The sequence below is a fragment of the Homo sapiens genome, chromosome 2, assembly GCF_000001405.40.
Source record: "Homo sapiens chromosome 2, GRCh38.p14 Primary Assembly".
Classification (NCBI taxonomy): Eukaryota; Metazoa; Chordata; class Mammalia; order Primates; family Hominidae; genus Homo; species Homo sapiens.
In genome coordinates, this window is record NC_000002.12 from 175,349,743 (window position 1) to 175,367,480 (window position 17,738).

Consider the following 17,738-nt stretch of genomic DNA (forward strand, 5'->3'; position numbering starts at 1 on the left):
CAATCACAAACATTTGTTGACTCCATTTCAAGCACTCACTCACATAGGTAGCTCCAACACCATCAAATTTCAGGACAGTAAAAGAAGGCGGATATGTCATTGGAATTTGTTACGGTGGGACTTGACTAATCAGAAATATTTCAGAGGCTGTTATCGTAGGTCAGACCTCAGATCTGAATGATTGAGACTTCTGCAAGTGACCATTGGCAAGAAGGTAGCCTCTTTGAGCATGGTTTGACCCCTGAAACCAGAGGCATTTTTACCGTGAAGTCAAATAAAACTTAGCAATGTGGTCACATAGTTGCGGTTTTGAAAAGTTTGCTCCCAAAACTTGACATTGTTCCTTTCCACTCCCATATCCTCCCCTTTGTGCCTCTCCTTGAATTGGGTGGTGTTGAAATGGCTGCAGGAATTTTGTGTTCTGGCAAGGAAATTGAGAAGGGGATACATTTATTTTGGGTTTAGAGGGATATATTCATGTGGTTTGCAGTCACTTCTGTGTATAGTTAAGTTATTTTTAGCCGTTCTGGTGAAAGAATGACTTCCAGGAATACTTCTGGTGCCTAATAGGCTGATACACCCAAGTTTGTGAAATGAATGGGCAGGGCCGGAAGTAGGATCACAGTATGAACGTGCCTTATAGTGCGCGACACAAAGAGTAGGTGGGTGTTGGAGGAGAAACATGATTAAACATTTTTTCAAAAAATTCAGATGTAAAATTTTTGAATGTAAGGTTTGGTTTTCATCAAAGTCTCATCAAAATGAAACTTTTCCTCTGCCAGAACTATTTTTGATAATGCGGTGTGCAATTTTAAGTGCACCACACATTTTCTTTTCTGTGGGGCATCAAGAGTTCCTTTGTGGCAGGGCAAATGTTGTAGCATTACTGCCAACAGCACACACATCTGTAGGTGGGGTTGCATGTTGTATGCACCCCAAATATTGCACTGTGTCTTTAAGATACTGATGTATATTGCTCTGCTAAAGACTGGTGGTTCCAGAGAAGAAGGCATACAAAATTGTCACTGATTCAGCAAACAGAAAAGTCAAGACACAAATTGACATATACTTATCGAGTCAATGGATGTTGTGTGAGTAATTTGATTTACACAATTATTATACCTCAATACAATGTAGTGGCAGTTTAAAAATATATTTTAATTGTCCTTGTACATGCCTCAATTTAAGATTATATATTATATAATTTTTCAGAGTATGCAGCCAAAAAATAGAAAAAACAGTTGTATCAGGAAGTTAATTGTAAATACATATGCATTTTTCTGGATTTTATGAAGTTTATTGTATTTGCCAGCTTTTAAAACATTTTCACCTTTTGTGGTTAATTTTTTCCACTCCAAATAAAAATCTATAACTTCATTCAATGTTGTGTATGTAATTTTGTTTTTTCTTTCTTAAAGAAACCTCCTCAAATTGTATAACCTTCAGGTATCACAAAACCAGATTTTCCCTTGTTTGCAATGTAAGAAGATAAATAATCGTCAGAGTTACATGTGGTTTACAGTATTCTAAATCTTAAATCTTTGGTTGAAATGTTTTTAAAAATGCATTTGGCACTCTAAAGAATTGCAATGGGAGAACAATAGAAAAGTTATCCCCACACTGCCACATCTCTACTACCTCAAAACAAAACAAAACAAAACAAAACAAAAAACTCCAGGGTCCAGCTGTTAAGTTTCTAGATCTAGCCTTCCCTCAAGCTGCCTTCGGGGGTGAGTACTCTTTCTTCACATTCCTGAGGCCAGGGAGGCTTGGCATTGGCATTCAACTTGCTCTCCCATGGCCATTTCTAGACAATTACCCTTCTACCTTCTTATAAAAGTTCCTCCTCTTTTGGTCTTTCCACTGCCTGGCATTTCCTCTCCATGAATGTTCTTACTGAGCCATTCTCCCCCTTAACCATCGACTCTACCCAACTCACTGTAAAGCTATTAATAGAATATTTCAGTGTCCATAGAACACACCCAACATCCTAGTTTTATTCATTTCCCAAGGCTGCTGTAATAAATTACCACAAACTTAGTGACCTAAAACAACAGAAATGTATTCTTTCACAGTCCTGAAGTTTGGAAGTCTGAAGTCAGCATCATTGGGCCGAAATCAAGGTGCTGGCAGGAATGTTCTCTTTTGGAGGCTCTAGGGGGGAATCTATTCCCTTCATCTTCCAGCTTTTGGTGGCTGCCGACATCCCTTGACTTGTGGCTGCATCATCCCTATCTCTGCCTCTGTGGCCACATGGCCTTCTGCTCTCCTGCTTATATAAAATCTCCCTCTGCCTTTCTCTTATAGAGATACATGTGATAGTATTGAGGTCCCACCCACATAATCTAGGATAATGCCCCCATCTCAAGATCTTTAACTTAATCACACATGCAAAGACTTTTTTTTTTTTTTTTTCCTATATAGGGTTATAGTCACAGGTTCCAGGGATAAGGATGTGGTTATTTTTGGGGGGGTCTTCTTTTCAGCCTGCTATACCAGCATTGCCATTCCTGAATGCCACCTCCACCTCTGTTCCAGTTCAGCCACCCACTTCCTGAACAACCAGCACTGAGGGATCTCCCGACCCAGAACTGTTTCACATTAGAAAGTCTCCTCCTTTCTCTCTCACACTCCCACTTTCCCCAGCCCTGAGCTGTGACCTCATGGAGACTTTTAGTTGCTTGATTCCTCTATTTTCCTCCAATCTTCCAACCCATTTCTGGCTCCTCTTTCTTTCTGCTCAGCCTAGACACTTGCTGCTTGGATACCTTGAGCTTTTTTCTCACCATAACCCCTGATTAATTGCATCCTTTCAGGGCACCATTCTGGAAAACCCTGGAATCTGGATTCATGTGACTACTGACATGCTTGGCTCCTGCACTTTGTCTGCTGGGTCCTGGTGGAATGAGGAGACACAGCCTCGCTGATTCTGGTCTCTGGCCTCAGCACCCCCTGCTTCCTGCTCTGTCGGTACCCCTTCTCTTCCTCTGCTTCTCTGCCTCTGCTACAATAGGATGTCTCAAGACATGTTCTGTGGGCCTCCTCATTAGAATCTCCTGGAACACTCACAAAAGAAATTCCTAGGCCCTACTCCAGACCTCTTGGATCTGAATCTCTGGGGATGAGTCTGGAAATGTTCATTTTCGACAAGTACCCCCAGGTGATTTCCCCTCAATTCTGTATTCATTCTCAACTGTTTTCCTTTCTGGGACTCACTAATGCACTCACACCAGCAGTTAAAATACGACACGCTTTAGTACCAGTTGTGAAAGTTGTGAAACACCACTCCCAAGCTCCCTGAAGCTCCCACCCCTCTGAGACTCCCGGCCCTCCCTGTTCTGTTTTGACTGGTGGGGCCCTGCTGCCAGTATTGTGAATGCTGCCTTTACTTTCCACTCCTTGACATTGCCCTTCTCTAGCTACTGTCCCTCCTTTCTCTTCCTTTTTTAAATATAAACATTGTTAAAAATCTGTCGCAGCATGCAACAGAAAACACTTTGGCTTCTGCTGAATAGGGCTTAAATACAGGGGATTGTTAGAAAGGTTGGAGAGAGAGACTCAGCGGGATAAAAGTGTACCAGTGCTGTGGTTGTCACACAGAGGCCAGGTACAACGAACGCTGTCCTTTGACACCCAGGAGGCTGGTGACCAGATTCTGGAATGCAGAATCCAGGGGCAGCAACTTCTCTAAACATTGTGCTTCCAAGGCCCTGCTTGTCTGTAGGAAGAGGGCTCCTGCCTCACTTCCTCCTTCCAGTTTCGCTGGAGTGCATCTAATGTGCATTCAGATCCCAGCTGCAAATAAATCTGGGAAATGTAGCTTTTCTGCTTTCTCTTCTTTGGTACAGGAAGGCACTCAGAACGGAGTGGGATGGATCTTATGTGTCTTATCCAGCGCAAAAGAGTTATGGGCACTTTCTGATGTCACATTCTCACTTTCTTTTTTTTTTTTTCTTTATTTTTGAGACAGAGTCTCACTCTGTTGCCCAGGCTGGAGTGCAGTGGTGCAATCTCAGCTCACTGCAACCTCCGCCTCCCGGGTTCCAGCGATTCTCCTGCCTCAGCCTCCTGAATAGCTGGAATTACAGGCACACACCACCACACTGGGCTAATTTTTGTATTTTTAGTAGAGGCGGGGTTTCACCATGTTGGTCAGGCTGTTCTCAACTTCCTGACCTCGTGATCCACTACTTGACCAGCTGTGACTTGCCATTTGCCCCCACCACATTCATGAACTTCTGTCACTAAGGTCAGCAGTACCCTTTGAGCAGCCAGATGCAGTGGACATTTTAGTGATTATCATATTGTAGCTCGCTACTGCACTTTACTCTGTTAATCGAGGCCTCCTCAAAACACTCTGCTCCCTTGACTCCTCTGACACCACAATCTTTGCATTGTTCTCATAGCTTTCTGGCCTTCCTGTTCTTACCCTCCTTCATAGGATTTTCTTTCTACCCTTAGCCTTCAGGTGAATTATGGAGCTTGGTCCTCTGTCCACGCTTGGTTTCCCTCTCACATTCTCCTTGGGCCCTCATCTGGAGCCACAGTTTTAGCCCAGCCTAAATGCCAAGATTCTCAAATATTTATGCTGAGAATAGACTTCTCTCTCATTCCTGAACTTCTGACTTAAATATGCATCTACCTGCTAGACATATAACACTTCAAAACATTTCAAATATCACATATTCAAAACTACCCGTCTCAGTTTGTGTCACCACCCAAAATTTAATAGCCCCAGTCAGCATCTTGAAAGTAGCACTTCACTCCTCTTTCTCCCTTATACTCCACTTCTGATCAATCCCCAAGTCCTGGCATTTCACCAGCAAAATATTTCTCAGATCTATTTGCCTCCACTTCATTCCTATGAACACTATCCCAGTTCAGGGTCTTGCTGCATTTCTTCTGGATTTCTTTACTAGCTTCAAACTCATCTATCTGTCTTTAGTTTTGACCCCCTCAAATTAACCCTATGCACAGTCTTTCAGGCAGTTGATCCAAACTGCAAGCCCAACACTCTACAAACTAATAACTTGAGGCACCGAACATCAGAGGCTATTCTATAATTTCCCTAGACTGCTTTCCCATCCTCCCATGCACATCTTGGGCTGCCAGGACCAGTAGAGGACAAGTTTTCAACTTTTACAGTAAAGACACAGGGATTTTGATAGGATTCAGAGGGAAGTGCAGGGTATATGCCAACCAGGAGAGCTAGGCTCACTTCCTACCTGCAAATCTGTTTTAGAGGAGGGGAAGCTGTCACAGACACTGTGAAAACATCCAGATTCTCCTTCAATAAATGACTTGTTTTCCCAGCTACTGGGACGATGTTGGCAGACAGCCTTCAGGGGTTGCTTCGGTGGCCCAGAACTACCTCACTTAAGGTCACACCCCTTCCTGGGGCATCCCACTGATGGATGCAGGGTATAAAGGCCTGGCCATCTCAACTCAAGTTGGAAAAGTCCTGAAGGAACAGTCGAGGTCTCAGAGCTTATGTGGGGTTGGCTGAGGCCATCATTATATCTGCATCGCAGCAGGACTGCTTCTTCTGTCCATTCCTGTTGCCTTCTCCTCCTTAGGAGGAGATTTCAAAGCCAATCCAGTTGCAATCCTGCAGCTTGGGAACATGCTACCACAGTTGGTACTAGGAGCAGTCTAAGAGCGCAGGTGCTGAGATGAGATTTTGGAGCCGGATCAGTCACTTTCTGGCTGGCAATGAGGGTGCCATAACCAGTGGCAGGTGGAGCACAGAGGGCCCTTGGCACAAAGTGGCAGTTCATTTGTTAAAACTTTCACTGATGGAGAATCAGGATGGTATAGCAAGTAATGCATTAGCTAGTGTGGTGTGTCATGCATTTGAAAAATATAATAGAAATAGTAACTATATAAGTACAGTGGAATTGGGTAACTGTTGCTAAGTTCAATTGGCTTCTGGAAAAAACAGATAATAAGAAGCTGAGAGGGATTAATTCCCAATTAACAGCTAAGTATGAAAGCCAGAGAGCCTCCTTGATGGTACACAAAGCAGCTTTATCTCCTGCAGTGTGAGAGGACCAGGCCTAGGACTTAATCATCAGAGTAGCCAAGCTCTCATGAAAGTTAAATTTCCAATTAAAGCCAGTCTCTTATGCCAAGGTCAGGGCTGGGACCTTGACACATGAGATGAGGACATCTGGGTTAATAATCCTGAAAATCACAAACCCCCAGACTTTCTGGAATGCCCTGAGCCTGTAAAGGGTTGGTCCACCCCTCCCTATTAGGAGCTGTACTCCCCCATTGATTGGAGGTGATGCAGACACTGCTCCCCCAGGAGGCACATTTGCTTCTTCTGTGATCTGCCACCATCTCTGTCCCAGGCACTGGGCCTATAAGTTAAGTCACAGTATAAGCCCAGCTGGAGCTGTGCTGGACCTAATAAGAGAAGAAAAGGACTACATCCTAAATGAGTTGTAACATCTGCCATCCTGTACCTGCACGTGCTGGGAGAGGAGGCATGGGATTGGATTATAAGCCTGCTTGATCCAAGAATATACAGGATTTAACACCTTGGCATGGACTCCGGGATATGGTGCAAACTCACTTCTACAATGGCTCCTAAAGGCATGACAATAGTGATGGCCTACACTAAGTTAGGCTGCAGTGTCAGAATGCACCTGGCAGAGGGTGGAAGAAGAGACATAAAAGCTCAGCAATGTCAGTGTGCTGGAGTCAGAGCACTGCAAAAGGCTAGAAATCTCACAGTATGATTGTGTCCCATGGGCAGGTTCAAAGGATACACTATTTACCAACACTGTATGGAATTAATTGTGTGAAAAAGACATCAGCATCGCCAAGAAGTCTAATGCTGGCTGTCCTCTGTGGGCAAGGGTGGATGGTAGATCTAGACAGCAAAATCCTACAGCATAGAGGCCTGGTGGCAGTGACTAACCTGCAGAAGCCAGGCAGACACAATGACCATAATGAGTAGCAAGTGTGGAGGGGAGTGGGGTTGCTAACCCACAGAGCTGTGGGTGTTTAATAGAACACAGCATTCCTAGGAATAAAATACATGGGCAGTGACAAGAATGCTACCAATCAGGACTATTGAAAGAAATCAAGGATGGAGAGTATATTCATTACCCAGGGCTGCTGTTAACAAAGTACCTCAAACTGGGTGGCTTAAAGCAACAGAAAGTTATTCTATCACAGTTCTGGAGGCTAGAAGTCCAAAATCAAAGTGTCAGCAAGGCTGGTTCTTTCCGGAAGCTCAGACGGAGAAAGTGTCTTGTGCCTCTCTCTTGGTTTCTGGTGGTTGCCAGGAGTCCTTGGCATCCTCTGGCTTGTTGGTGCATCACTCCAGTCTCCACTTCTGCTGTCACATGGCATTCTCCCAGTGTGTCTCCATCTTCACATTGCACCTCCTCTGTGTGTTCGTTCCAATTTCTCTCTTATGAGGACACCAGTCATTGGACAAGGGCCCACTGTAGTACAATATGAACTCATCGTAACTTGATTAAATTTACAAAGACCCTGTTTCCAAAAATGAAGCCACTTTCTGAAGGCCCAAATAGGCACAGATTTTGGGGAAACACTATTCAATCCAGTAAAAATGACCAGAAGGCTGAGGGAAGTTTTCCTAATAAAAAGTCACAATTCCTTTCCAATTTTGTAGACCTGAGCCAGTTTTGAGGTCTGGTGCATATTGGCTGAAGAAAAATCTCAGTTCCCTGGTAGAAGAAGCCTGCAATACCACAGCAGGTATACCCAATAACAATCCTCCTAGTCCTTTCTTAAAGGGGTCTACTGCTATGTACTTGGCTAAGTGAGCACCAGGTAACTGAGCACCCAAACATTTCAAGAATTATTGGACATAGGATGCTAATTGACACTACTACTTGGAACCTAAGCATCATCATTGCCCTCCCGTTAGACTGCAGGCATAGCAGAGTCAGGTGATAAATGAATGAATTGATTTTAAAACATGTTACAAAAGTACAGTGAGTCCTTGCCTTGGTGGGTAAATTGGGCCTGAAGACCCCTCTGGTGGTCATTTTCCTGGTACTAAATGTGTAATTGGAACATCTGCAATAAGCAGCAGGAAGTGGTGGTGGTGATGGTGGAGTAAATGTGGTATTTTCTTTCCCCAAAGGGACTTTTTTTTTTTTTTTGAGCATCAGCCCTTACAGACATATGTGTTGCCAACTGGATCACTGGAAAGAGCAGTACACAGACAACAGGACATCAAAGTCTGCCTCCCTTCTCCTATTTTTGTGAGGTCCTTGCCTTATTTGGTATTGTGAGTCCCAGGTGTGTTGAGGCCAGTACTTAGGGGTCTATGCTGATGTGACTGCCCCTGAGACTGCCTGGTAAAGCTGAGAGATGGCATTGAAAATAAACATATAATGTTTTACTGGCATTAGGAAGGAAAATTGGCTATGTTTCAGGGATATCACCACTGCAAAAGCTGAGCTGAAAGCCAGAAGATTCTATCAGACCATCCTATTGTCATGAGTCAGAGCAAGCATCAGGCATTAACCTCCAGGAACCAGCCCAGGGGTGAGCCTCAGTGGCTGTTCAGTGACTGTATTAGATGAGAGCTCTTCCTTTTCTCTCCACCTCCCATCACCCCGTTTGCTGCCATCAGCTGTTAACCAGAGGACAGATAGGAAGAAGGCGAGACTAACTAGAGATGGTGTTCAGCACTGTGCTGAAAATGGGTCATTTTTAGCTGAAAAATCATTTTATTGTACCAGCTCTATAGTTGAAATTAGTAGGATTAAGTTTTATACCATTAGCAGAAGTGAAGGCTTGAATCAAGATTACACAATATAAAATGTTTGTCCTTCTCTCCAGTTATATCAATTTATGCCCATTTGTAATGTTTGTTCATTAAATACAAGCTGCAAAAGTCAGATAGATCCCAGTAGTCCCACTAGCCAAATATAACAACACTAACAATAGCATTAAAATGTGACATATTTCTCCAAAACAATCTTGATAAAGAAAAGTAAAGCTGAAGACCTCACATTTTTTGATTTTAAAGTATATTACAAAGTTATAGTGATCAAAATAGTGTGTTACTGGCATAATGATAGACATATAGACCAATGGAACAGAATAGAAAGTCCAAAATAAACCCTCATGCATATGGTCAAATGACCTTCAACAAATATTGTTGGAAAACTGGATATCCACATGCAAAACAATGATGTTGGACTCCTACGTTATACCACATACAGAAATTAATTAAAAGTAGATTAAAGACTTAAACATAAGACCTTTAACTAGAAAACTCTTAGAAGAAAACATAAAGGAGAAGTTTTATGACATCGGATTTGGCAATGATTTCTCAAATATGACACCAAAAACACAGGCGAGAAAAGCAAAAAAGACAAATAGGATTACACCAAGTTTAAAAACTTATGCACAGCAAAGGAAACAATCAACAGAGTGAAAAGGCAACCAATGAAATGGGAGAAAACATTTGCAAACCATCTATCTGATAAGAGGTTAATACTCAAATATATAAAGGACTCCTACACTTCAATAACAAAAAACCCCAAATAATCAAATTTAAAAGCGGGCCAAGGATTTGAAGAGACATTTCTCCAAAGAGGACATACAAATGACCAAAATGTACATGAAAAGAAGCTCAACATCACCAATCATCAGGCAAATCACAATGAGCTATCACCTCACACCCCTTAGGGTGGCCACTATCACAAAAACAGAAAATAACAGCGTTGATGAGGATGTGAAGAAATTGGAACCCTTGTGCACTGTTAGTAGAAATGTAAAATGGTGCAGCCACTGTGGAAAACAGTCTGGAGGTTTTTAAACAATTAAAATTAGAATTACCATCTAATTCAGCAGTCTCACTTCTGGCTATATATCCAAAAGAATTGAAAAGAGGATCTTGATGAGATATTTGCATGCCCATGCTCATCGAGCCATTCTTCATAAAAGCCAAGAGGTGGAAGTATCTGTCCACTGACAGGTGAATGGATAAAATGTGGTATATACATATAGTGAAATAGTATTCAGCCTTTAAAAAGAAGGAAGTCCTGTCACAGACTATGACATGGGTGAAACTTGAGGATATTATGTAACATGAAACAAGCCAGTGGCAGAAAGATAGATACTGCATAATTCCACTCATATGAGATGTCTGAAACAGTAAATCTCTTAGAAACAGAAAGTGGAGTGGTGGTTGCCACGTGACTGGGGGAAAAAGGGAGTTGTTCAAAGAGTATAGAGTTTCAGTTTTATAAGAAGAAAAAAATTCTAGAGATATATTGTACAACAATGCGCATATAATTAACATTGCTGTACTATACATTTAAATGGCTAAGATGGTGGTCAGGCGTGGTGGCTCATGCCTATAGTCCCAACACTCTGGGAGGCTGAGGCAGGTGGATCACTTGAGGTCAGGAGTTCAAGACCAGCCTGCCCAACATGATAAAACCCTGTCTCTACTAAAAATACAAAATTTAGCTGGGTATGGTGGTGCACACCTGTAATCCCAGCTACTCAAGAGGCTGAGGCACGAGAATTGCTTGAACCCAGGAGGCAAAGGCAGCAAGCGGAGATCACACCACAGCACTCCAGCCTGGGAGACCCAGCAAGACCCTGTCTCAAAAAAACAAAAAAAGGCTTAGATGGGAAATCTTGTGTTATCTATTTTTTTACTACAGTAAAAAATGTAATGTATTTCCTTTTAGTGTTTTTGTTAACACAATGTCTTTTTTAAAATAACCAACAATTATATTTACTTAGACTTGTGGCTCTAGTTGCAAATACTGCCTGAGGGAGGGAAGTGCTTTTGACTGTCGATTTGTCATTCTTAGAAACGAGACTTTTGTGATCTTTAGATTGTGTTGTGGCCAGACTCCCAAAAGCAAATGATCCATTTAAGGGCTACTGAAAAATGTCTGCAACATTCTTCAAAATAACACTAATGACAACTAACAATGCTATTAGTAGCAGCCAATGTTTTCTAAGCACTTACTAGTGCCAACAACTGTCCCAAGAATGTGATGTACATTATCTTATTTAATCCTCATAACCATTCTAAGAAGTAGACACTTGTCATTCTCATTTTACTTTTGATGAAACTGAGGCTCAGAGAGGTTACCTAACTTGTCGATGTTGCACAGTTTGTAACTTGCGGAGCCTAGATTTACACACAGTTGTAAAATAAGAGATCTAGGAAGAAAGCATTATTAAATACTTTGATTTAATAGCTTAATGACAATAATCAAAATAAAATTTAAGAGGACATAGAGTGTTCCCCATTTAATAGATTTGGGAGCTCTGAGAATTTGCCTCTTTTTCCAGAATATTTCTCTCATAAAGTAATTATCATTTCATTCTCCTTCCATTGACCTCATCTACAGTTTGGGGAAATGGCTCTGGACTTTTGGAGACTTTGATGTAAGAGATTGTTAAGTTTATATTGTAAGCTATCAATAAATCTGCTCTTCATCTCTAACTTAGCAAAGAACAAAATTCAAGCTCAGGAATCATTTCCTCATGATCTTATAGTTGTCTGGGTATTGCACAGATCTCATGGGAGAAATGTGCTCAGGAAAAAGTGCCTGCTATTTGGCATGGATGGCAGAACAAAGCATGAAGGTCTTTGGATACATTATGTCATTGGCTGAGAGGGAGTAGGAACCGTTTCCTGCCCCTGGTTGCTGTAATTTTAAAATGTCTCCTTGGTACCCCTCTATCCAGCAACACACCTCTGCAGTATTAGATCCTCCTCTGGCTGCCATTCAAGTAGGGGAGGAGCCCTGAAGGCATCAAACCTTTGGGAAAGAAGGGAGATAAGAGGAAAGCCCAAGGAGAGAGGAGAATCCGTTGTTTCTGGACTTAGCTACCCTGCTCAGGAGCATGTAAGCTGCTCGATCTGGATGAATAAGAGCTTTTAGAGTTCATAATAAATGGATTGTGAATCTTTATTCCTTTCCTGTAATAACATGAGTTGCCTTAATTGGTCTTAAAACAGATAATTCAGTTTAGTCTGGCATCTCAATCCTGGCACTATGTGACACAGTACAGAAGGAAGTCACCTTTCCTCTCCCAAACTCCAACCTTTTCATGAAAGAAAAATTGCAGTAGTTCCCAGCCCCTCCCATGAGACTGAACTGCCCCCAGCCAGGAGGGTTAATGATTTTCTGAAAGGAAATTTGGTTAGAGAGTGGCAATATTTCATGGTCTTATCATGTTATACCCATTCTGTGTGGGAGCAAAGTCAAAAGGACTTCGCCTGTGTGTCTTATGGCTGTGTGGTGTAGGTTAAGTTTGGGGAATGATGAACATGAAGAAATGGATTTATGTACTTGTGGCCTGGTTTTGGGGGGCCGTGTGAAAAATGCTGTCCTTGGTTGTTTTTGTAATGGCGCTTCTCTTTGACTCAGCTTTACTTTGTGCCAATAAGAATAGCCTGGAAAGATAATTAACGACTTTGTGTTTAAGACATTTCCTTTCAAAATGACGGGGTATACCAACAGTTATGGCACTGAAATCATTAAAATCATGCAAATGCTTAAAGTGTGTAGGCCTGGGAGATTATAGTTTCATTAGAGAAAAGGCTATAAAGTTAGACCTAGGTAATTACCTTTCCCATTAATGCTAGAAAATTCTGTGCTCCACTGAGAAGTGATCGTGGTGCATCGTGCCTTCTGTGCTTTCACATTCAAACTGCAGGAGCCTTTATTTCATCAGCACAAACTGCAAGGTAGCAGCAGCAGCTTTCCAGGTGTACTTTGCAAATTGGGGTTTAAATGTGGAACACATCAAATTAAAATTCAATATTAATTATTTTGTCTTGCTAGGAGTCTGAGTGGTTTAAAGCAGCAAGGGTAATTGTCTAATTCATTGTGTGTGTCTACGGTGAACTTAATCATTATGTCAGCTTCCTAATAAAAGGTTATTAAAGAAACAAAGATCCCAATTTTACATATGGTAGGCAAGGGAGGATTCGAAGAGCCAGTCTCTAAGGTAGACTTGAGGATCTTGACAAATGATGCCCATGCTGTGATCAGATACTTAACAAGAAATCTCGTTATTAACTAGGCCTGTACAGATAATTAGCACTTGAGCTTCAAATTTTAAATCTGGCTTGAGATGTATAATTTATCAAAAGCCTTAGCTTGCTGTCAAAGTCTGATAATAAGGTAGTGTTATTGATGAATTGAGATGAAGAGCAGATTGAAGAGAAAATTAGGCCACTGGTTAGCCTGAAAGGTCTGATTTCAATATTTACAGTACTAATTTGGTATTATTTTGGTAAATGGATGTGGTCCCCAAGTGCTGCATGGTATAAAAGAGTAAACTATGCATCATTATTCTAACAGGAAAAGTATTGTTTACTGTGTACTGGATTTTGCAGCACTAGCAGTCTGGTTAATAGGCTACTTTATAAGATGAGTGTACCTGTTTTTTATCGCATGCATATATTGTAACCCATTCAGCACCTAGAGCTTTTAGTGAAAATTAGAAAATGTAGCTTCTTTACATTAAAAATGATATTACATTAGACTAATTGCTACAGAGCCTGTCTTCCCGATTTAACTCACTTCCATTTATCTCTTGGCATTGTCTTCCAAACATTCTTGCCACTGGAATTTAGATAACTACCATTTTATATATTCAAGCTACATAAAATGAGCAATCTTTTTTTAATGATCTCTGGTTGCTTTTCATTGCAAGCGATCTTGGGGGCAGGGGAAGGAATGAGATGTACAATAAACCGTCTATCTCTAGTATCTCTCAGCTTTGAAGCACATTCTGAGTACACTTATGTGACCCTTGGCAAGTTAAATCTTTTTGATGCATGTAATAAAATGTTGTTTGGGGCAATAGCTGATTTCCAAAATTATATTAGGCATAACATAAGGCTGTGGCAAATTGTCTCCCTATTTTTCCTTGCTTGAGCTCACAAATGGGATTGGGAAAGCGTTGGAGTGTTTTATTGTATATCATATCAGGTATAAATAGACAGTACACTGCACCATAATGTATCTCTATGTAGCTCATAGCAATATCTGCCTGTGAAATAATAAAGCACAGGACTGTTGGTTTCCAGAAAATTGCTCGAAAATCCCTTGTCACGTGTTATTGGCAGCAGCTTCTCCTCTCCAGTCTCCAGCTGTCCAGTGGGGTGTGCCAACTCACAGCAGGACCTGAGGACTGTTTGCATTGAACGGTGGCACAGAGCTTTATGGTGATGTTCCTTGTATATTGTGCACTTGCAGACAAGTAGGCTTTCGGAGACTCAGCAGGAGCATTCTAGTGTTTATGCTGAGGTGGTTAGCTAGTGGGCAAATTGCTATTATTCAGAAACGTGTGGCAGAGGAAAATGTATTGCATTATGTTTTCTATCAATATTATCTTAATGCTGACCAATAACAGGCCTCCGTTCAAGCTGACCCTTCTTCCTGACTTTTCTCTTATGCGTAATTAGATTGAATGGAATTTAGTGGAGACGTTTTCTTGGGAGGAGAAAGAGGCTTTTTTTGCCCTATTGCAGCTGCGTCTCCCCAATCTACCCCCCACCTCTACTCAGCAATGCCTCCCCCTCGTTCCCCCGACAACTCCTGAGATAACATTAGTTTAGCATTCTACTTTCAGACTAAAAAGATTTGGTGTTTCAGCTGTTCCAATATATGTTGACTACTGACTAATGGATATTTATTCCACTTTATTGCTTTCTATAGGCAAAATTCAAACAAAAGGAATTGGATTTTGCTAATAGCACTGAGCGGCATTGGCATTTTTTGACAGTAGTAAGGATAATCATAATCCCACACATGGAGATGAGGCTTGTAGCCTTTCAAAGCACTTTTATATATATCATCTCCCTTGATTTTCATGTATAACACAGTCAGGGGAGGAATTATAATGCCCACTCGATAGATGAGGAGAAACAAAATAAAGAAAGAGGTTATAAAATCCACTTATGGCAGAGCTTGGATCATTTTGTTCTTTGAACTTTCTGACTTTTGCCCTTTGTTCTTTCCTCTGAACAAAGTGGTTTTATTCCTTATAATACTATTTCCTTTTATCATTAAAGTTTGCAGAAATACTGCCTGTACAGGGCACTCATCCTGCACCTCTCTGAGCTGGATAAAACAGTTGTCAAGAGCCAAGAGAGTGTGGTAGAAATGTTATTAAGTCTGTTATTTGTAGGATCATTATCTCGCTCCAAGTGTGCATTCCAGAAGTGTACTTTGTTGGGCATTGCTGGATGGCCCAGGAAGTTATCACAGAATGTAGCCTCGAGCACTCTGTATTTAAAAATCATCATTCAGTTATTAACTCTAGCAGTAAAGACAGTGCATATGTTCCAAGAAAACTACCTTTAAAAAAAACCCTCCAGGGAAGGTGGTGACAGAGGCAACGATGCTGGGATTAGAATTTAGGGGTTTCCCTTCTCTGATGTCTACATCACTAGGCCCTGTAGCTTTCTGACCTTTTTAAAATTCCATCCTCTCACCCCCACCCCAGTCACACACTCAGAACTCTACACCAAAAATGCACTGCTTCTGTGCTGGTTCTATTAGGCCACATTCACTTGGGACCTTTAGAGAGAAGGAGATGAATGTGTTTCCTAAAGGGAGAGCTCAGATCTCACAGGACCACAGTCCACATTCTTTTCCCAATCATCTCCCCTCTCAGTCTTCAGCCTGAGGGATTAAGTCTGAGCTTTGCAGTTAGAAGCAGTTGCATGTAGCAGAATAAAAATATTTTCTCCATTTCAAATAAGATTAGGAAGTCAACACAAATAAATTACACATGCATGTAGGATAGGCTGGTATGGGCAGCAAAGAAATAAATGATCATCAAATAATCATAGTGTGTGAACAGGACTTTGTATTTTATGTTGAGCTCACTGGTATCAGATTTTTATGCTCTACACTCAGGACCTCTCCTATGCTTGGAGCTTCAGCTAAAGTCAAGGCAAAGATTGCATTTTGAGGAGGAGATTGTGTGTGTGTGTGTGTGTGTGTGTGTGTTTGTGTGTGTATCGGGGAGAAAGTAGGAGGAAGGCAGAAGAAATAGCAATTTAGTTTGAAAGAAATGGAGAAGAAAACAAGTATAAAAATATTACCAAAACCAGTAACAAAGGTGATCAAGAACTGACTGTGTCTGTAATTATTTTCTAGGTTTTTTTCCATTAGCATTATTTTTGTCTAATGTTATTAAATTATTTTTATATTATATGAATATGCCAATTAAGGGATATGGACATTTCAAGACTAGGCACAAAGGCATTTTTCATCTGGTAAGTGATGAGTTTTGCTTCTTTAGAACGTGTGGCCAGGGTAGAAATTCTTAGTGTTTTTAAAGCAACTATTTGAAATAGCTCATTCACGCGGCCATTAGTCTTTTCAAAATTTATTTTTAAGGTAGCTGTGGAAAATAAAGAGGAAAAACACTGGGCAACATTCAAAATAACATTCTCAGACAATCCTACCACCTGAAATGAATGATTTATGGTACATTTGGCATTCTCTACTACCTTTTACATTATACTTACAATATAAACTGTAGCTCTTTCATCTTTTAAGCTGTCAGACTAATTTCAATATGCACATTGAAAAATGTGCTGAGGTGTTTAAGAGGTAGTCAATTCTTTATTATAAATTAATTTTTCCTTTATAATTTGAAATCAGAATTTTAAACATTCAGAGGTTCTAAACCAGTAACTCTTAGTTTAAGCAAGGTACCTTTTAAGAGCCCTGAAAAACCTAGTTATGTGTTAAACTCTATCTTAGAAATCTTGAAAAGCATAGGATATTGTTTTTAAAAGTGGACATGTGGAGTATATGTTTTACTATCTAACGCTCAGAGTTTTGAACTGTGTGAATGCTTTGCCATATTTTGATCAATATGTATTTATATAACAGCAATGCTGCATGTATCCCTATTGTGTGTTGTCTACTGAAAATGAATGGCCCTAAAATTACAGGAGGTCACATACTTTTTTTTTTTGTCATTTGTGCTGCCTTCTTATTTGGTGATGTCATATACAAACACAAAGTACAGTAAATACACACACACATTTGCTTTCATAAACTGATTAATCAATGTGCAAAAATTGCTAAAGGCATCGCTTTCTGCTCTACTGGAACCCCAAGGAGCCCAGCAGACGCGGATCCAGTTCTGTTCGCTAGGATGTCGGGCTTCGAATTCACTGTCTGAGTCTCACCAATAGGGGTCTCCAGTGTACCACAGAACTATTTACACCACTCCATTATGATTATTTACAGTATGCTGTACATGAAGACAGAAGCAAAGGGGCAGAACAGATTTATATGGGCTGGGGCTGATACTGGATTTATTCAAGGAGTGAAAGGGTGACGTCACAAGTTACAAGTGATGAGGAGAAGCAAAGACACATCTAGGTTTGGTGTGAGAACACCCTTGACCTAATGGTGTGGACATGATCTGCCTGATCTGACTGTGCCCCAAAGAGAAAAAAGAATATCCAGGCAGCTACAGTGGTATTTCCTGATATTTAAATATGTGTCTTTGTTTGGATGAAACAGCTAGAGGAATGAATGATTTTTTTCTGTCCTCATTGGAATCTTTTGGGAATGGGCTGAAACTCTAAATATCAACCATGAAGCTGCTTCATGGTAGTTTTTATGAAGTTATTTATTTTTTGTGAGACTGTAGGTATTGAAACTGTCTCCCCCTGCCATCTCAGATAAAGAAGGTAAGAGCAATTACCCTCCAAAAAGAGAAATTAC